This window comes from Homo sapiens, chromosome 3 (genome assembly GCF_000001405.40).
Source record: "Homo sapiens chromosome 3, GRCh38.p14 Primary Assembly".
NCBI classification, from domain to species: Eukaryota; Metazoa; Chordata; class Mammalia; order Primates; family Hominidae; genus Homo; species Homo sapiens.
This window is the reverse complement of record NC_000003.12, coordinates 102,373,687-102,395,839: the sequence shown is the minus strand read 5'-3', so window position 1 is coordinate 102,395,839 and position 22,153 is coordinate 102,373,687. Positions and strand designations below refer to the sequence as shown.

At 35.7% G+C, this 22,153-nt stretch overlaps 1 protein-coding gene across 1 annotated transcript in view; it reads right to left on the bottom strand.

Moving 5' to 3' along the window:
* ZPLD1 (zona pellucida like domain containing 1) overlaps positions 1-10,696 on the bottom strand; it is a 94,698-nt gene extending 84,002 nt beyond the window's left edge. Inside the window, exon 1 of the mRNA XM_017005703.1 lies at positions 10,523-10,696. The gene's annotated coding sequence lies outside the window, so the exon portion shown is untranslated. The remainder of the gene's footprint in view (positions 1-10,522) is intronic.
* Positions 10,697-22,153: the final 11,457 nt, after the last annotated feature.

Here is a 22,153-nt window from a genome sequence, read left to right as displayed (position 1 = left end):
ATACAATTGATACAAATTATTATTAGTTCATAGAAGAAATGGTTGTGTTTTGCACCCACCTCCAAGTCTTATGAAATTAGTTTTGTGTCTTAAAATAGATGACACCTTGGAGACAAAGTAATATGATGCAACTGTTATGAATGTGCACAGGTGCATTGGTTTTCTGTTACGAATTACTCCAAATATCGTAGCTTAAAACAACACAAATTTGTTCTTACAGTTCTAGAGTTCAGAAGCCCAAATTGATCTTATGGGGCTAAAATCAAGGTGTCAGCAACGACTGCATTCCTTCAGGAGGCTCTGGGACAGAATTCATTCCTTGCCTTTTCCAGCCCCCAGAGGCTGCCTACATTCCTTAGCTTGTGGCCCCTTTCCATCATCAAAGCCAGCATTCACATAACTCCAACCTCTTCGTCTTTCATCAGGTATCCTCTCTGATTCTCCTTATCAAGACCCATATGACTACATTGGACCTACTGGGATATTCCAAAATCATCTCCCTATGTCAAGATTTTTAAATGAATCACATCTGCTAATTATTTACATATACGTATATATATTTTTATATATGTGTGTGTATATATATATATTTGGTAAGTAAAGCAACATAGTCATAGGTTATGGGGATTAGGACATGGACGTTTTTGGAGTCTGTTATTTGCCTACCACTGGAGATAAACAGGTGGTAAATTGGGGTAGGGAGATTTTGTCTGCCTTGTCAAGCATTTAGACCTTAAGCAATGAAGGGTCAGTAAAGGTTATCATCTACTTCCTGATCCCTCCTTCTACTACCCCACTGATGCCATCTTCAAATCTCTGATTTAAGTTTATACTCAGTTTCTAATCTCAAAACCCATGTATATTTTTGCTGCTGTGCTTTGCACCTATAATGGCTTTACCTTTTTCCTTCCTTTTAATTGCCCTAATTAAGAATAATCTTTTGAAAAGGAGAGTCTACCCTCTTAAAAAGCCTTCTTCAAATCAAAATTTATCAGATGTGGTTACATCACCACTCTCAATTTCTTTCCATATTGTACTTTGTAGGACTGAGAAATTTGCAAATGTGACACCAAATCAATTTGTTTAGGGAAGACAGTTCCATGCTTAAATGAAAGGGTCAAACCACAGCACCAGGTGATGTTCAGAGACACAGATGACCGCATCCTAAGGAATGTAGGCCATAATTCTGGCTAATTTTACCAGCCCCATTTTAAAATAACTTCTTTGGAAAGCTATATGGAGGCTGAGGGTAATTCTTAACACTGTTAACATCAGTGATCAATGGAAACTTTTTTTTTCATTTTTTTAAATAAAGGAAGGAAACAAAAAAAGAAAATCTATGTCAATGAAACTTTTAAAGTTACCAATTTAAACATAAAAGCCAGGACATTTAAGTATCCTAAGGGAACATTAGCTTGTTCATATTTCATGTGCTTCATTTTAAGGCATAACACTTAACAGTATAATTAGCAATCAAAAATATTTTATCTGTGTACTGTGGGTGTTTGATGTTATTATGAGATCCTTGAATTTTGCATTTCCTGACTTCTATGTTTAAATGTATAACCTTAATGTTGCATTATTGTCATGTCTTACATTAGTTATTGATAGCTTCTAAATGAAATAGATGCCCTAGCAGGTCTTTTCTACCTCTAACTTCCGTAGGTAATTTCTGCAGACACACATTTTATGAACCAATGTTACAGAAGCTCTATAAAAACTGTAATGGAAAACAACACAATTCTTGCTGAAATGTATGGGGGGTTCTAAAAGGTTTTTCACTTTGTAACAATTATGTTGAATATCTTTGAAAGGTTGTTACTTGTTTTGCTTCTTTATGTCATTACATCAATTTTACCTTGCACTGAAAACCTATTTCAAAAAATTAAAGCTCCACAGCAATTTTCAACCTATCAAAGATTTAATGTAGCTTTATAAAGCCTGCATTATGTTGTTTTCTCTAAAAATCACGAAGATCTCAGGTAAAGGACAGAGTGAGTCAGTACTCAAATGTATTCTAATTGTGAAAGTCATTTCTTTCTTTGATATTCAGGATTTTCCATTGCCACATTTCACTGGCAATTGGCAAAGTGATAGTAGCTTAAATGCCAAAGATATTTCTAATAAAATTTTTACCAACTCAAAACTAGCTTTCAAACCTAAGTGTTTTATCCAGAGTTTTTTTTTTTTTAATCTACAAAGCAAATGTAATGTGGGAGTATGAATCAATCTCAGCATACATCAGGTTAGGTAGATTTCTGCCATGCCTTCTTGCCCTCAGAATGTCACCCCATTCCCCAATTCACTGACAAGTAAGCAGAATTCAAAATTGCAAACTCTGTTAGTTCCCTGTCTAAATCCAAACACAATTATACCAAAATACTCTTATTCTTTTTACTGCACTGGTAAAAGTTTGGATATCCGGAGTTGTTGAATCTGCAATTGAAGATAAGATTTTTTAAAATCTGTTTAATGGAAGAACGACTTGAGAAAGTGACTTTTCTAGACAAAAGCCTGTGATTTCACTGGTACAATGAACACACGTAATAGCACAGTTAAGCGCTTAATATACTTCTGGGCCGGTAGTTGGCTTTGACGTGGTGTCTTAAAATTTAACCAATTCAGTCACCTAAGGAAAAAGAAATGCTAAAATTTTTGGTGTTGTATCTTCACACCCTCTAGCTCAATTTCCACCTTGGAAAACTTTAGTTCCAATATATAATTACAACATACATTACATATGAATACAAAATATTTGTGTTGACAAATTCATATTGTTTAGGCCTTAGATAAGAAATTATAGACGTACCAGATACATGTGTTTGAAGGAAGAGGAAAGAAGATAGTATGCATGTAAACAGATATCAAGAAAATGTTTTCAAATTTCAATTTCCTGCTATTATTTTTGATTCTGAGTTATATAACATCCAAAATATATTTTCTTGAACTATAGTCTATTACATCTTAATGGGGAAATCAACATGTTTGCATGAAGGTACCCAATAAAAAGTGCAACTGTTTTTGAAACTCAGTTTGGTTGCTACGGTTTGAATATTTGTCCCCTCCAAAATTTATGTTGTAAATTAATCCCCAATGTGGCAATATTGAGAGGTGGGACCTTTAACAGGTAATTAGATTATGAGGACTCTGCCCTCTTAAATGGATTAAACCATTCATAGATTGATGGATTTACAGGTTAAGGAATTAAATGAGTTATCATGGCAGGGGAACTGATGGCAGAAGAAGAAGAAAGAAGGAAGGGGGAAGGAGGAAGGAGGAAGGAGGAAGGAAGGGAGGGAGGGAGGAAGGAAGGAAGGAAGGAAGGAAGAAAGAAAGGAAGGGAGATCCACCTGAGGTAACATATTAGCACATGTGATACCCTGCACCACCTTGGAACTCTATAGAGGGTTCCCACCAGCAAGAAGGTTCTCATCATTTATGGTCCCTTGACCTTGGACTTCCTAGCCTCCAGAACAGTAAGAAATGAATCCCTTTTCTTTACAAATTACCTGGTTTCAGTTATTTTGTTGCAAGCAACAGAAAATGTATTAACACAGTGGTGGTAGAAGGACAGTTATGATAAGGCCTTAAGAAAAAGACCTGAGAGTTCTTACCGTTGCTAAGCTTGTCTTCCAGCACAAAACCAGTTGCATCGGTTTATACTAAGTGCCTAAAAGAAGAGGGTATTGTGGAACAACACCATTATAAAGCAGAAGTCAGCAAACTTTTTCTGTAAAGGGCCAGATTAAAAAAATATTTTCGTCTTTGTAAGCCACATATAGTTTCTGTCACATATTCTTTGTTGTTTGTTTGGTTGATTGGTTTGTTGGTTGGTTGGTTGGTTAGTTGATTAGGGTTTTTCTTTTCAATGGCCCTTTAGAAATGTAAAACTTATTCTTAGCTATGAGCTCGAAAAAGCAGGTTGCAGAGACTATTTAGCCTGCACATTGCCCAGCCCTGTTACAGAGGAATGGAAAACACTACCAAATTGAGTGCCCATAAGGTTGTCTGATTCCCTGATACAGTTATCCCTTGCTGCCTAACAAAGCACTCCAAACCTTGAAACTACAATTATAATCACTTATTTTGCTCGCAAATCTGCAATTTGTACAGGTCTCAGTGGGGATATCTGACTGCTGCATCATAAAATAGTCAGTTGGAGTGGTTCAGCTGGGGCTGGAAATCAACTTCCCAGATGGCTCACTTAGGGCTAGTAAGAAGGTTCTGGCTATTGGATCCTTCCCAGTGGCTCCTCCACGGGGTTGCTTTGGCTTCCTTATAACATGTTCCCAATAACATGACTGTGTTCTCTCCCAAGAAAACCAAGCAGAAACTGTATCACTTTTTATACCGAGATTCAGAAATCACATCATATCATTTCTGCTATTATCACAATCTCATTCAGATTCAAGAGGAAGGAACACAGACACCCCACATCTTGATAACAGGAACATCAAGGAAGGGAATGGGAGATGGGAGACATTGTTGTGGCAATTTGGAGGATATACAATCTGCCACCCAAAAATTAAGTTTTCTCTCTTTGCTTTTAGTCTGGGGCAGGTTTGATCAGAGTTTAGTAGATAAAGTATACTTTTATAGTTTAGCCTTAGAGAATCTTTTTAAATACTTCATAAAACTTTCTGCAAGTGTGATGTATTTAGTTGCAGAATTTAAGTTTAGAAGCTAGAATCCATAAGCTCTCTCTCCAAAGAAACTGGCAGGAGGTCGGCTCTTTGGGTTGTATAAAATGAGTTAAGAAAGCCAAAATATATCAGCATACCAAAAGCAAAGCATGTGTTAAACATATCATTTCCCTTTCTGGATAATTTTCTAAGGAGACTAAAAATTTACTTAGTCTATAACTTAAAAAGGACATGGGGTCCTTTTCTGACATTTTTTTTTTCTTGGGAGCCTAGAATATCACTGGGCTTACATGCTAATTATTTGAGGTGCTTTCCAATGTCAGCAGCTTAAACCTACCTTGAAATTGTTTCAGTTTGCAACATTCCAATAATCTCTCACATGTTGGGATATTGGTCTAGACACATGGCTATGAGTGGCCAGTTAAGCAACGTGTGGCAAGGAAAAGACAGGCTGTGGTGTGCACCACTGCTCATCTCAGCAATCAATTTCAAATGCCACAACTTTATCAGTTGTTTAGAGATCTATAATCATTGTGAAGACTCACAGCAGCAAACCATGCACTTCATGTTTGTCGAGCTTTGATTTGATTTTCTCTGTTCTGTAGAGGAACTGACAGGCTTAATAGAGGCATCTGCATCATGTTGAATTGATAGGGTGAGGCAATACCTTCAAAACATACTCTTTGCTCTAAATACCTGAGTAAGCCAGATTTAACTGAATAAAATATTTTAGGATATGTTTTTATGGATTTTAAAGCACATATGCCCTATTTCTCAGTAAATCTTGTGAACGCAGATAGAAGTATAAAATGTGGTTACATGCTGTTTTCATATTTCCATTGATAGTATGGTGGTACTAAGACAGATTCTAAAACGGAGAAACTTAAGGGTAGAAATCCGGTTGGGGGTAAAAGTTGGGAAGCTGCTTTGAAGTTAGTTAGAGTAGAAAGCACGCTGTGTGTTTATTTGTTAGGGCCTAAAATTATCTTTTTGAGTAAAGCACATGGTTTTAATATAGATTGTACGTTTATTTGAGGTGCCTTGGAGAAATCTCACAGAAACTACTGAGACCTAACTCTCTTGCCTCCATCAAGTTATATCTGGTTATTAACTCTGATAAACTCACCAAAATCATAAGGAGGGTGTAACACATTAAGTATTTCTTTTTAGCCTACTTTACAAGTATCCCTTCAAAGGTCTTCCTCCAGTCCAAAAATACACTTATATTTTTTCAATATCCAATATGCTATCAACCCTACCACCATCACATATCCAAAGCAAATAATTCTTAGTAATTCTTCTTTCAATCAGCATCAGAAAACCATGACACTCAGGATCCATCTGAGAATAAGATCATTAACTCTCTGTTGCATTAGCTAATGGCCTGAAAAGAGAAATGATATTAAAAGTGACCATCTAAGAATATGCCATCCATCGGATCCTCAGGTTATATATTATAACTCAGCCCTATCTTTGGATAAAGCTATACAACCAGAAAGCTATATAAATGAACCACGTTAACCTAGACCCATACAAAATCACTTTCTCTGAGTTATGTCTCAATATTCAGCCCTAAATTTATATCTAGGGTCCAAATGAGAAAGAAACATGAAACATGCTGCCATGGTACTACAAAATCAAGGTAGAATTACTGCCTTTTAGATTATTCAGGGCCTTCTACATTGAAGTTTTTTTAATAAAAAATAAATGTTTCATTTTTGGTATGCCTTGAGGTTGCCTGTGCATGGCAAATACATACTTTTACCTAGAACCTTTGTTCATTTAAGGTAGCTTAGAGGAGTCTGACAGAAAGTAATGACTTAAAGCCCTCCCACTAAGAAGTAATGAATTCATTTTAGAGTTTAGCACTTAGCACAACTCCTGAGTCAAGATGACATGTCAACCATATGTGTTGATCTTTTTTGCCTCTGAAAATTTCACCAAATTAATTGTAAAAGAATAAATCATAGTTGAAACAAGTAGTAGCACTCTCTCCAGCACCAGGGCATACTTAGTCCATTTTTATTTTTTAAGGACCAGCCTTCCTCATTTACTTAATTACCTGCCTGGGCCATATGGGCATTTGAGTGTGCAAACATTATCCACATCCTTGAAGTGAACAACAAAGGAAAGATAGTACAACAAAAATGATGATGTGGGGATAAAGAAGAAACAGCCCAGAAGAGTTAAACTGAAGTTATACAACTGAGGGTGAAGGTTGGGGTTTCTTAACACCAACACAAGAGAAAAATTGAGTGAAAAATAGGAATATTGATTAAAAGTCAAACTCTTGCCTTTCTGTATCACATTGTAGCACCCAGACATCTATCACTTGGACAAAAAAATCAGAAGTCTCTTCTCTAAAGGATTTCCTGATTCCTCACCCCCCCAGAAATATTTTTTAACTGTGATATTTTTAACAGTTGTAATAGTCACATGCCTGCCCAATTGCTCTAAAATAAACCTATCAAAAACCACTGTGCAGAGAACTACTGATGTGCTTAATATTGCTTTATTTTTAAATATATTAAGTAGCAAAACATCATAAGGTATTGGAGGCAAGACTGCACCACGGAATAGAGAAACTAGTGGTAAACAGGAAAATGTCATTCCGGAGGAAACTGACATAATTTAGGGAGTAGAGGAGAACATTAAAATAATGAAAATAACATCCTCAGAGATAAATTAGTATTATATACATATAACAGAAAGACACACACACACACACACACACACACACAGACAGAGAGAGAGAGAGAGAGAGAGACTCCAGGAGAGAAAATCCAATAATATAGCTTAATACGTTTTAAAAATTATAGCCCAAATAATAAGTTATAAAATAATTGAAGATAAAGATTGTAAAACATTGCCAAAAATTACAAATATGAGAGAAAATATACAAGAGAGAGTATACTCTCTCAGTATATCCTCCAGGAGGTCCAATAACTAACCTACAGTAGTTCGGATGATCAGAGCAGAGTGGAAAAAGATGTGAAAATCACGACAGAAAAAACGAGAAAGAATTTCTCAGAACTGAGGCCGGGCATGGTGGCTCACGCCTGTAATCCCAGCACTTTGGGAGGCCGAGGCGGGCGGATCACGAGGTCAGGAAATCGAGACCATCCTGGCTAACACGGTGAAACCCCGTCTCTACTAAAAATACAAAAAATTAGCTGGGCGTGGTGGCGGGCGCCTGTAGTTCCAGCTACTTGGGAGGCTGAGGCAGGAGAATGGCGTGAGCCCAGGAGGCGGAGCTTGCAGTGAGCGGAGATCGCACCACTGCACTCCAGCCTGGGCGACAGAGAGAGAGACTCCGTCTCACAAAAAAAAAAAAAAAAAAAAAAAAGAATTTCTCAGAACTGAAGGACATGAATCTTAAGATTGAAATAGTGGGTGAGTGCTTAGGATAATTAATGAAAAATTACAACTAGACACTTTATTGTAAAATTTTGTAGTGCCAAATATAAAAAAGAAAATTCAAAAAGTTTCAGAAGGGATTAAAATTTACCAGGTCAGAAAAAATGACCAACAGAAGACTTAACCATAAATACTGGATGCTAAAAAGCAATACAATAATGCCTTTGAAATATGAGAGAAAATGATTCTTAACCTAGAAGGAAGTCCCAGGATTTCAACTTTGATCCAAGAGCCAGTCCTGATTGTTAAGAGTATGAAAAAGGGCCCATGATTGAGTGTAGTGGTCTCTGACAAAGAAAGTCAAGAAAAAATACCTAATATAAATTTTTTTAAATGATGACAGAATACAAAAGAGGTGAAGAAATGGGAGAGCATCTCAATATACAAATGTCTGATAGGCTTTACTATGTGTAATTCTCTATAGTCAGATGAATGTGAAAACTATATATTAGCTATCACATTTTAAAACTAATCTATAGGTAAAATACAGAAGACATGTAAAATGGAATGTGTTTTTATCAACTGTGATGATGCAAAAGTAAAAATGGTAGATTTGGGGAGACTTGGGACAGTGGAAGAGAAGGCCACAGGCAGTCACATCCTCATCTTATAAAGTGAAGAGTCAAGAGACCCAGCTCACAGTTAATTTACAGGAAAGAATGATGGAGCTATATAATTAAAATCAGAAGTAACCAGTACACAACTGAAAAATAATAATGTAATTTAATGGAAGGATGGAGGAAATTATGGAGGAGAATAGATAGCTAAATCTTTGCTATCATAGCAGAAAAGAAATAGACATCAAAAAATATTCCATCAAGAAATAACAGCATAAACATCTTATTAAAAATGCTAAGATAACAACTGGGACAGCCAAAAGGATTAAAAATGGATACTTCTGGAGAGGGAGTCTAGGGTTGGTAAGTTTTGTTTTTATTATAAATAATTGTTCATGACTTGACTTTCTAAATTGGCATATATATTTCTTTAATAACTAAAAATATGTTTGAGTAAAACCTATAACTACCAAAATGTAATAATAAATGTACTAATATTTAATATACTAACCTCCTAAATATTATGATTTCAATTTGTCTTTAATATATTCACTTGCTTCAGAAGCCTAACTTTGGGGTGATGAGACACATACACTATTTTTAGATAACATTTTATCTTATTTATTTTCAAAATATCTGGGAAGCCACAAACAACCTCTTAGGTTCTGAAATTACTAATCAAATTTGGAAATTACTGGTTAAGAATACATTTTCAAAAGTAAATTAATTTTCCCATAAAAACTTACAAACTATTTAGAAGAATACAAAAATAAATTTGCCTGTGATGAAAGAATTAAAAAACGCTTTTAAGTGTATTCTTAGAAATGTAGAATTTATAGAATGGAGAGTAACCCACTGGGGCATTCCTGGAGGAAAAGTTCTCAAACATGGCTACACAACAGAGCCACCTGTATTTGGAAAAAAAAAAAAAAAAAGACCCCACTTACATCAATTTTCTGGGGGTGGAGGCCCAGGCATAGGTATTTTTTAAAAGTATCCAGGTGAATCTGAAGTGACACCAAGGGTTGAAAACTACTGTCCTAAATGAAGCTATTTCCTAGTATCATGAGGAATCTCTTTCCAGCATTTCTTGGGTAATTTATGTGTTTTGCATTGGGAGAAAAAAAATCAGTCAAGGAGTGGAGAAAATGAGATGTGATGATTTCTTGCAAGAGATAAAAACATAACAATCAACACAGAGACACTACCGGTTCGAAGAAACCCACTAGTCAAGTTTACTAGTCCAGTGGAGAGCAGAGAGGTTGAAGTTGACATTTCTGGGAACCAGACAAGAGGAAGGAGGAGAGAAGTTTCATGATCTAATCAGGTGTCTTGCTTGTAGCTATTGCCCTGTTTTAAGTGTATGCTCATGGCCCTGTCTACTACTAAAACTAAATCATGCTTGCAACTAAAATTTATATTAATAAATTTAATGCATAGCATAATTCAAACAAATCCTGTGAGTGATGTCCCAAGAAATAAGTTTAGACAGCAAAATAAATCTTAACATTGGCGATTTTGGCACATGATTCTGTGTAGTGCTGTTAACTTTGTTAAGGTTCAGAATATTACATTATTTAGCTATAACTCAGTAGTCTTCACTGGTGTATACACAAGTATTTAAATATGCACCATAAGCTACAGCCCTTTGTAAATATATAAAATGTAACATTTCACTTATCTTTGTAATAATGTGTTTAGATATTCATAAATACTACAAGGAATGTATTTCAAGGATTATTTATGTTTTGTAGAATTCCTGAAAATCTCCAGGAATTCCAATTACTCATTGGAAAAATCCAAAGATTAATGTATGTCAGAAAGTTTAAAACATTACACCTTTCTTTATAATTGTAGTACCAGTTGTGGGTGAGTGCTGTCAAAATCAAAAGTCTTCACACTTACTTATTTCAGGTGAAGAGGACTCCATGACTGATGCAGGCTTTTGGAAGAGGCAGAATGGGGGTGGCAATAGCATTGACGGAGCGTTGGCATTGGACCAAGGAGGAAACAACTGGACAAATGTGGAGACTTTTAGAAAAAGGTCTATGTGGGTGCAGTCACTAATGGAGTTACTGAGTCCCGAATTCACTGAACTGAAAGAAAACAAGCATCAGCTGGTCATATGTTCTTCATTTAGTCAGCTTTTCTTTTTCTATCGTTTCTACAATAGAATAAGCTTCAGTGCAAACCTTGCAAACATCTTCTACCAAGATTCCCTTTATTTGCTAGCAGTGCCTTTTTTAAAGAAAGAGGTGCGGACAGTGCAGTGGCTCACGCCTGTAATCCTAGCACTTTGGGAGGCTGAGGCGAGCAGATTGCCTGAGCTCAGGAGTTTGAGACCAGCCTGGACAACATGGCAAAACCCCGTCTCTACTAAAAATGTAAAAAAAAAAAAAAAAAATAGCCAGGCCTGGTGGTACACGCCGGTAGTCCAAACTACTCAGGAGGCTGAGGCACAAGAATCGCTTGAAACCAGGAGGCGGAGGTTGCAGTGAGCTGAGATCGAGCCACTCACCGCACTCCAGCCTGGGTGACAGAGCGAGACTCTATCTCGGAAAAAAAAAAAAAAAAAGAGGTGGCCATATTTGTATCACAGGAATATCCATCTTCAACTTTTAAGTAAAAACTTAATGAAATCTGAGATACAGAATAAAAGTAAAAGTACTTAATACTGAATTTTAAATATGTTGGTCCAGAAAAAAAAAATCTGTCTTTTTTTTTCTCAGCTAGTGGCAATAATATAACCTAGTGTGTTTCTCTTGTCCCCTTGTCCATTAAGAACCTGATAGCTAAGTACTACAATTAGTCACAGTAAAAAAGATTAGGCATTTCTTTAGCCTAATTGTTTTATCTTCCTTTGTATTATTCTTATTTTGATAGTTCTGCTGCAATGTTATTTTTTTTCATATTCCTGTGTTTGTGGTAAGCCACCACAATGGAATACAAAGAAGCAGAAGAGAACACAACTTATTACAAGCATATAATATTCCATATACTTTATATACTTAATATTTACAACAACCCTCTGAGGTTTGTATTATTCCCATTTTACAGATGAGAAAACAAATTCAGATAGGTTTAGTGAATTTGCAAAGCAAATAAAAGTTAATTATCTGTGAATCCACAGCTGGAATTTTAACTCAAATGTTCTCAATACCAAGCCCATATCCTTTTTACTATAGCACAACACCGTTTTCCCTTCTACAGGAACTGCAGTTACTCTATGAAAGCTGGTGAAGGATGTTTTACTTGGTCGTGATTATAATATAATTACAGTACACACATACACACACACACACGCACACACACACATGCACACACCTACCCTCATTTGATGAAAAAACACAAGGCAAGAAAAACTTGAAAATATTCACATGACTAGGTTCTAAGCCCCTTCTTGACTCCTGTTACAGTGACTTTTTTTTTCACCCTGAAATCAACCAAGGAAAGTTGCACAAATAAATATCAGCTCCAAGGGACCATCCAAAGCAAGAGAGAAAGTGAGGGCTGTCCCCATTTATAACCTCTGAAACCAGAGCTGGAAGACTGGGATCCCAGGTCAGCTCAGAGGTTTCCCCAACATTCTTGTATGTGAGAAGACTGAAATCTTTTAAAATTATCTCTACACTGCAGTGGATTTACCAAAAAAGAAGAAAAAATTGAAAATTTATCTCTACTGCTATACTGCCAAAGAAAAGTGTAATCATTAAAATTTGTGAGGGAGCAATTAGAATGGGTGGACGTGTAATATTAAACTGTTAATAGATAAATCTTAAATGTTTTGAGTGGGGTAAGGTACTTATGAAATATAAATTTTCTACAAGTGGAACTTCTCCAGATTTCTGACTATTATGATCTCCTCCTAGGGACAGAAAAGAAAAGCACATTCACATAGATCCAATTATCCTTCACATTACTGGGAAGATACTGTAAGGTAGATATTGGAGCAACTTGTTAATTGTGATAATGATACAATCAAAACAAATGCTATTAAACAAAATGAAACATTATCAGCCATTGTAATTAGAGAGCACAATTTAAATAATCCATAAAATTTTTTTGAATAATAAAGCTGTTCTTATAGGATTTACAGTTTCATCTGCTCCTTTTCCCTCCTAGCTGGTAAATTCATCTAGCTATCATTTATTTATTAAAGTGCTTTAATCAAGGGAACTGCTCTATCGTCACATTTTATTACAGTTGGTCCTGAGCTGAGCACAACAGGAGGTTATAATTGTGCTATGGAGCACCCCTACAATTAGACACTAAAGTAAAATCACTCTATTGCTGATTAAATTGATTTTTATAATTAAATAGTCTTTACTTAAAATAGTAAAACTGACACAAAAATATGTTCTGCCTTGTTCAGCATTAGCAGGTCCCTATTTGCATCCTGAGTTTTTCATCCAGTTATGCTTAAACATGTCTTTAGAATTTGTTATTTGCTTTGCCTATATCCAAAGCAATTATATATTTTAAGGTACTCTATAAGGCTCAATTAATCTTTTTTTTTTTTTGAGACATAGTTTCACTCTTGTCATCCAGGCTGGAGTGCAATGGCTTATTCTTGGCTCACTGCAAGATCTGCCTCCCGGGTTCAAATAATTCTCCTGATTCAGCCTCCTGAGTAGCTGGGATTACAGGCGTGTGCCGCCACACTCGGCTGATTTTCTTTTTTTTTTTTTTTTTTTTTTTTGTATTTTTAGTAGAGATGGGGTTTCACCATGTTGGCCAGGCTAGTCTCTAACTCCTGACCTCAGGTGATCCGCCCTCCTCGGCCTCCCAAAGTGCTGAGATTACAGGCATGAGCCACTGCACCTGGCCTCAATTAATCATTTTTGTTGACTCCTCTGGAAAGTGGATCGAGACTGTCACTTCATTTGCAAGTGGAGAAGAGGGCACAGTAAGCATAAGTGAATTATCAAGGTCAAATCCCAAGAATAATTATAAGTACTGTCTTAAAGTTTTAACATATTCATCTTAACATTTGTCTTTAAATTTTAAGTGGTATCAAAGTGTTTAAAAGTAAGAACTGTGTAAAATGAAGCCATTTCATTATTCTTTTAATGAACGTGGTTAGCATGATGTCTCAGAACCAAGAAGTTGAAGATGGCCAAAATGTATAAACATTTAACAAGTTATAGGATTAATAATCAAATCAAGTTTTATGATTAATTAGTTTAGGATTGAGTTATAGGATTAATAATCAACCAAATACCGAGATCAGAACTAAAATACAGTTTGTACCACATGGCCATGGTTTGGTTGAGGAGTCACAGACTAGCATGACTTTCATATGTACTACTCATTAAGTAGCTTTGCAACTCACCCTATGAGCATATTTCATGTAACTCACATAGTTCCATCAGTGTTGTCAGCTTTGACAACATACAAGAGATTATTTTTTGAAATTATTCTCACTGCAAGAAATAATTTAAAAAATAGTATACAGTAAAGAACCTTACAGAAGCAGTGAAAATTATGACTCATCCAGCTAGATATGGATTCCACATTTCAATGTGCCCCTAATTACACACCTTAGAGGAGTCTGGTTGATGATATCCCATAAGGAAAATACCCTCTTAATTGATTCATTACCCAACCAACCCCAATCCGCTGTTGGCAATGACAGCCACAGAAGGCTGTGTGAGTTATTGACAAGGATTATTAAATTACTCTAATCCAGATACTTTTCAGTTCTTTACAGTAAATTAAAATAAGCTCACACGAGTTGACAAGAACAAGACAAATAAAAAAAAGAATGAAGGTCACATAAGAAAAAGCAACTAAAAGTTTTTACATCATTCATTCATCTCACAAATATTTATAGAGTGTGTGTTTTGTACTAGAGGTAGACTAGGTGTCTCAGATACCATGGAGAGAGTAAACAGGCATGACCTTTGTGCTGGTTAGCATTATCATTTGAATGAGAGAGAAATATTTTTTAATTCTACTTATCTGCTTTTGAAAGTAACACTAGAGAACAAAATAAAATGAAGGCAAACTTCACTCCTCTTCTTTCCCCTTTCTTGCTAGTCATCAGACGCTGAGGCTCTGAATCTAGTTAGTGTGAGCTTGAACTCATTATTTAATTTCCGTGTGCCCGTGTCTTCGTTAGTAAAATGAGGGAAATAATGGTACCCATGTTAAAAAATTATTGCAAAGATTAAATGAGTTAATCAATGTAAAATGCAATGTAGAACCATGTAGGGCCTACAATAGGAAAACAAACGTTAGCATTTGCTATTATAATAAAATTTTTGTTACAATTTATCTGACTTGTAGCCTTAAGTGGTTAAAGTAAAAATCTTCATAGGTAGTGACAATGTTGATGTTACAAAGCCATGGTAAGTAAAGAGCTAGCTTATTAATGGAAACCACTATATCAAGGGTCAGGTTGTTTTGTCCAGGATTAGGCATGTCTGCTCCAGATTACTGGTGGTACAGAACAGCCAAGGTTCAGATTGAGGACATTTGTCCAGGGCGTTGAGAAGTCCTTTCAGGGAGAAGAAGTAACTCATCAGTAAAAGATCAAAGCTATGAATCCAGGATGAGGATGGCAAGGTGAGGCTGAGCATTGAAAATGTCACTCAAATTGATGTTCAGCCTAGTCCTTGTGCTCTTGCTCCAGGCCTAGAATGGGGCATTACCAAAGAAAGAATGCAAAGTAAGTTTTCTTCCTCCCAACAGAATCTCCTTAAGAAGTTTAAGGTGTCAGCAATGGCAATGTCAGCAATCCCTGTGAGACTTGAGCGAGCACTAGGGACAGTAGCCAGGCACTCCACAGACTTGACTGGTCCAGCTGCCACTTTTGCTTCTAGCACGCATAGAAGCTTTCCCACAAGAAGCCAGAGCTGGACAGGACACCAATAACAGGTACCACAGGATGATCAAGAGCACTAATTTACAAAGGCTATATGAAACATCCTTGTTAGGAAATTGAATACATTTGGGTGAAGAAAGTGAGAATTTTTAGATTTTTGGCAAAATGGGCATTAGCTTATCCAGAGAAATACTGGTTGTGTGTCTTACTTTGACACTGTTGTTAACTCTCAATTTGTGCTTTTTAGGGTATTCTAGTTCTGCTACTCTAAAAAGCACTTTAGAATTTTTTAATGGGTAAACATTTTTTAGATGTGTTGTTAAAGTGTTTAATCCTACCTGTAGTTTGGAAGCAGCAATATTTTTCTTATTTTCAACAGAGAATAAACCTGACTTCCTTTCCTGGGAAGTAAAAAGTGCTCAGTATCATTTTAATAAAAGATTAGGTTTACTCTCATGAGCAATCATTGCATCCTGCAATGATTTTTGGCACACTGATACTACTTTTAATTTGAGTTGAAGTTTACTAACTATAAGCACAAAAGATGTTGTTGCTTTCTAACACATAGCTCCAGGGTAATATGAATTAATTCAGGAAACAGATTTCATCCCTGAGCAAAACATCACTAGTTCTAGATTAGGGAAAGTTTGAAAGTTCGTATCAGACAGCCTCAGCTCAATGTCTAACTTTTGGTTTCCTGCTACACTGAATAATTTTTAGGTAAGTGAGTTTTTAGCAAACATACTGAAAAATGGTTCTCAGTGAGTGCTGTTCTTCAAAAATGAATTCATATATCTGAGAACTAACAACTCATTCCAATGAAGGTTGCTGTTACTCAAAACTTGATTAGAATTCATTCTGGAAATTTTTTTCAGAGCTACTTTACAAACTGTACAAAACACCAGATCTATCAGTATAAATTATATGGTCCCATCTATCCTGATCCTCAATTTAATATCAGGTTTGGTTCAGAATTCCTTCTGTCCTCTTCCAAAGCATCAAACCCAACAAAATGAAAATAACCTCTGCTGAAGTTTTTCAGGAGGAAATTCTCTAAAGGTTATATCTCATGAGAGTTGTAACAGCATCTTGAGCAATAATAGGGTAGTTACAATATGTTTATAATCTCCTCAAAAGCTGTAAGAGGAAAGATTTTTATTTGTATACAATTAAAAATGTGCATTGTGGAATACATGTAATTTGCATACTTCCACCCAAAACATGAGTTTCAGCAAGGCTGAAGCAAAAAATTGTATTTTGGAGTTGGTCATTTTGAAAATTGAGTAGCAAGCAATTACCTAATACCAGTTCTTCATAAATTATTTTCTATGATTAAGTTTTATTTTGGGGTATTTTCTGATTTTTTTTTAAACAGGTTAAATCAGTGCCATTCCACTACATCTAAGCTCATCTCTGCATTCCCCCAGGACTTCAGGTTTGCTATGCTGTATTTTACTAGTGTATGGTGTATACATGGTGGTCTGTGTATGGATGAAATTGTTGTTATTTCCTGGATAGCTCGATTTAGTTTTATGTTTGAAAGTTTTTGTTTACTTTCAAAAACCTTGACACAAATCGACCTAAGTAGGTTAAAAAGCTGACTGTGGAAGTTATATTTTCTCAATATCTTAGATCAACAACTGAATCACTCTTAAAGGTAAAATGATTTCCTCAACTCCTGGAACACAATATATGTACTGACCTGTGTCAGTCAGGAAATTCAGAATGCCAGATTTCTGATGAAAGGCACGTTTTCTTAGAAAGGGGCCCGCCCATTCCTATATAATGGGGGCAGGGAATAATAGCATGAGCATCTGGTACAGTCTGTAGATCAGTTTTTTTGGCCCAGAGATCTGATGCATAATAGCATTATCGCAAATCCCAGACTCACCACCATTTGCCCATGAATGTTAGTGGATTCTGGCTGCACAAACAAAAACAAAAGCAGAGGATGGCCATGTCAGGACCTGTCGACTATTGACATACAGAAGATGTATGAATGCAGCCTCTTGATGATCAAGACGGAAGGAAGCAAGCATTGGAAGACTACCAAAAGTAAACAGTTTTCCTTGTCCCTGCAGGCATACGTGCAAAATAAATCATTCCTGAGATGGTGATTAATGTTTTATACTTTCTACTTCTCCTTCCAATTAAATTAAATTAAGGTACATCTAGTTACTTATGAGACTGAGTTCTTATGGCCTTCTCGAAGGCTAGTTTACTATTAATGAATGTGGTTTGCTGTTGTGCTTTTCACATCCCTTTAATGGCCTTGATAATGGTGAAGACATTCAATGTTATTGTGTTTCCTCCATTTAGTGGGTTTTATCTTAGACTCCCCTGGGTTGGGGTGAATTGTGATTTAGCAAATAGACCCATTTTTTGTGCTCCCCGCTGGGTTTTCTTCCAATGTCTGGTAGGTGCATAATTGCTGCTGCTTTTGACACAGCAGCCCCATGTGAACTGTAATGTTTGTGGGCTGATGCTTTGATCTGGAGTGAAATTTTATGAGATTTAGTGCTGTGTTATTGGATATTCTTCCTCATACCTTTATGTAGCTTCATATGCTGTCATTTTACCTATTTGATACTCGTATTGATTGATAAATCACTTCCATTGAATACTTAACCAGGATTGGATCCTGTTTGCATATTTCTAACATGAACTGGTGTTGTGTAGGTGTCCTAAATGTTAATGAGCTATCAGCAACACTTCCTTCTTGGCTCTGTGTTTAGAATGTTCAAGGTCCACATGATGTGAAAATCGTAGGAGTCAATGTCCAGCACCCCTGAAAAGATCTGGGGGATCCGTTCAAGATCTTCAATCTCTCTAAGTTTCAATTTCCTCACCTGCAAAATATTTTATTAATGGCTTATTTTATTAATTTTATTAATGGCTTACTTTTAATATTTATATTGATATGTAATATTTGTACATATTTGTGGGGTACATGGACTATATTGATATATGTACACAATGTGTAATAATCAAATTGGGGTAATTAAGGTATCCATTATCTCAAACATTTATCTTTGTGTTGGGAACATTGCAATTCTTCTAGCTATTTTGAAACATATAATAATAAACAATATATTGTTAATTAGAATTCTCCCCCATACGATTAAATACTAGAACTTATTCCTTCTATCTGACTATATTTTTGTATCCATAAACCAAGCTCTCTTCATCCTCTCCTCCCCCTTTCCCTGCCCTTCCTGTGATAACCACCATTCTAATCCTCACTTCCATGACATGCACTTATTTAGCTCCCACCTGTGAGTGAGAACATGCAATCATTGTCTTTCTGTGCTTGGCTTATTTCACTTAATATAATGACCTCCAGTTTCATCCATGTTGCTGCAAATGACATGATTTCTTTCTTTTTCACAACTGAATTGTAGTCCATTGTGTATACATATCACATTTTCTTTATTCATTCTTCCATTGATGGACACTTACGTTGCTTCTGTATCTTGACTATTGTAAATAGTGCTGCAGTAAACATAGGAGTGCAGATATCTCTTTGATATGTTGCTTTTCTTTCTTTTCATATATATACAGCAATAAGACCGCTGGAACATATCGTAGTTCTATTCATACATTTCTGAGGACCCTCCATACTGTCTTTCACAGTGGCTGAACAACTTTACATTCCCACCAACAGTGTATGATCATTCCCCTTTTTCCATATTCTCAACAACATTTTTTTGTCTTTTTGATAACAGCCATGTAAAGTACTTAAAGTAATTGATTGTCTCATAGTGTGGTCGTAGAAATGAAACAAGTTTATGGAGCTAAAACACCTAATGCCTGTTAAACACTTAAAAAATGCTAGCCACCATTAAATATTTTTAATTTGAATTTTACAAGTATTGATATAAAAATGTTGACAAATTCTATACAATTAATTTTAGAATTACTAACAATTGATTTATTAGTAAACCTTATAACTTTTATTCTTTACCTGATTACATATATATGATATATGAATTTATTATATGATTCCTTAACATTTATCTAGCTCAAATAATGCATAAATATGATTGCATATTCTTGAATGTACTTTTAGAAGATTGCTGGTGATAAGTATAATGTAGAAGAGAATAGAAATAGTTCAGATTAGATGTAGGTCACAGATATGTCTAAGTGTTATCAACACATTAATCCCACAAATTTTCAATTTTATAAAAGATCAACCATAGCTTAGAACCCATTATAGTGACAATACAGACTAGAGGGGATCAAGCTTCTAATTTCAGAATATGTTTACTTCTGTAACTTCTTAAATACCATTATGTTTTCAGGTATCAAATTTCATTTCTGTGTCACTTTAAGAAATACTACTATATTTTCAGGTATCGGGTTTCAATATAAATATAAATATGAATATGAATATATGAATTTACATATAAATATATAAATATATAAACTTATATAAATATATAAATTTATATATAAATATATAAATTTATATAAATATATAAATTTATATATAAATATATAAATTTATATAACATATATATATTTATATATATAACATAAATATATAGATTTTTATATATAACATAAATATATAGATTTATATATAATTATATATAATATAAATATATACATTTATATATATTTATATTTATATAATAAATGCATCTAATAATAAATGCAGTCTAATAAATGCATCCCAGGTAATTTCCATGAATTTACTTTTTAAAATTACAAGAAATAATATCCCTCATACAAAAAAAGGAGTAAGTAGATTGGTATTCCAATTCCCTCTGCTGCATAGTCTCAGGGTTTTCTGAACAGTAGATTGTAGTATCTTTCTGGAAAGGGGGACAGTTTTCCTCCAACCTAGGCAGCAACTTAGGCAGCTAAGAAAGATAAGACCGTGGGCTTGGATGTGAAGAATATCAGCTTAGTAACTAAACAGCCTGAGATGATGCTCAGGAAGACAGGCAGTTCTTCTATTTCATATGACTTCATTCTACTGAACTACATTTCATTAGAGGAAGAGTACAAGGTCTTCTCCACCCAGTAATTGAGCATCTTTGGTTAAAGACAGTAGCTACTGATACTTAGGCACTGTACATTTTCAGAGGTGGGGGCTTTGGGAACAAATACCTGCTGGATTAAAAAGACAAGGGAGACACAATAGTGGCAGGAAAGGGCAAAGTGGCCCTTCTTGATAATTCCATTCTTTGATGACTTTCATAAAAAAGAAGTTTGTCTCTTCCTCATAATACATTCAAATTTCTAGGAAATAGGATCAGTCTTTCCAGCATATGAACTAAGATGTATATTCTCATGTCTAGGGCCTAAGTGGCTTGTTAGTCTTTTACTCTCAGTAAGACAGTCAAGTGAGAAATGGTGATGATGAAACCTAACACAAAACCCACAGAGCTGGGCAGGCACAGGAACAAGCTTTAAGGGGCAACAGAGTCTGGGAAAGCAAACCCAGATTGGCAATAGGCATCAGCGAGGGCTGCTGGATGTTAGGAGTTGGTTTCCATCCCTATAAGGAAGCAAGCCTCCCAGGTTATAAATAATCTCTGGAGAAAATGCAGGATTTCAGTGCAAAACATGAAATGATGATCAGTCCAAAAGCCCATACTATGAATTGAGGCACACAGAATGATGCTGAACTCAGGAAATTAGATGCAATTGACCTATCCTATTCTCTATTACCGGAAACTGTAATGTAAAAGCAATATGAGAGCTCCAGTGATCAGAGGAAGGACAGTATGTTCCAGACGGGTTTTGCAGTAAGAGTGGCTCAGTGACGCTATCCTCAATCAGAACAGCAAGGAGGATGGCCCACTGTGAATACTTGGCCATACTGGGATGTATAGACTGGAGCTCCTTAAATGTCCTATTAAATCAAATTTCCTGTCAAAACATGCATTTATCAAGGAACCAAAATATGGCTTATCTGGGAAATAAGGCATGATATCAAGGGACTGAGCAGTCTGAGATGCACTGAAGTAAATAATCACTCTGAAATGGCAAGATCCTGTAAGTGGTGAGATCCACAAGTTCATCTATGGAGGAGCTGGGCCAGGAAGAGGCATGGGGACTGAGATGTGAGTCAGTGTAGATGGAGAGATAGAACTGACTCAACTGTTTAGAGACACTGTATGCAGATTCAGTGGGGAATATGCTATATTGGCTGAAAATTCTGGATAGGACAATGTCTTGGTATAAGTTGGGAAAAGAAAACTCAAAGGAAACTGAGTACATGAAAGAGAAATAGAGCTTCAGATCGCTGAAATGAGTATGTGAGTATATAACATGTGCATAAATACATTCCCAGAGTTTTGTGTAAGAGCTGTGAATTGCAGATATTATTGTCACTTCCCTTATAGGAACATCTTACTAACTGCCCAAAGACTGCTTCTGTTGGGATACACTAGTGCTATCACCTCCCCCTCATACAATGAACATAGAGGTTTGCCAGCTTCTCAAGATTTCCTTAGTATGACGTTGTGTGTGTGTGTGTAAAGCTAGAGAGAGAAGCAAAGAAAGTCTGAGTGAATTAGAATGCCATTATATGTAGCATTTTATCTTCCATAATTTTTGACAATACATAAATCCTATTTATAGAAGTAAGCTTGTGTATTAATGATTGCATGTCAATATTAATGATTAGAGCAACAAAACAATGCCTTTGGGTGGAGACTGAGAGACTGAGATGAAATCAAAGCGGGCACCATGGA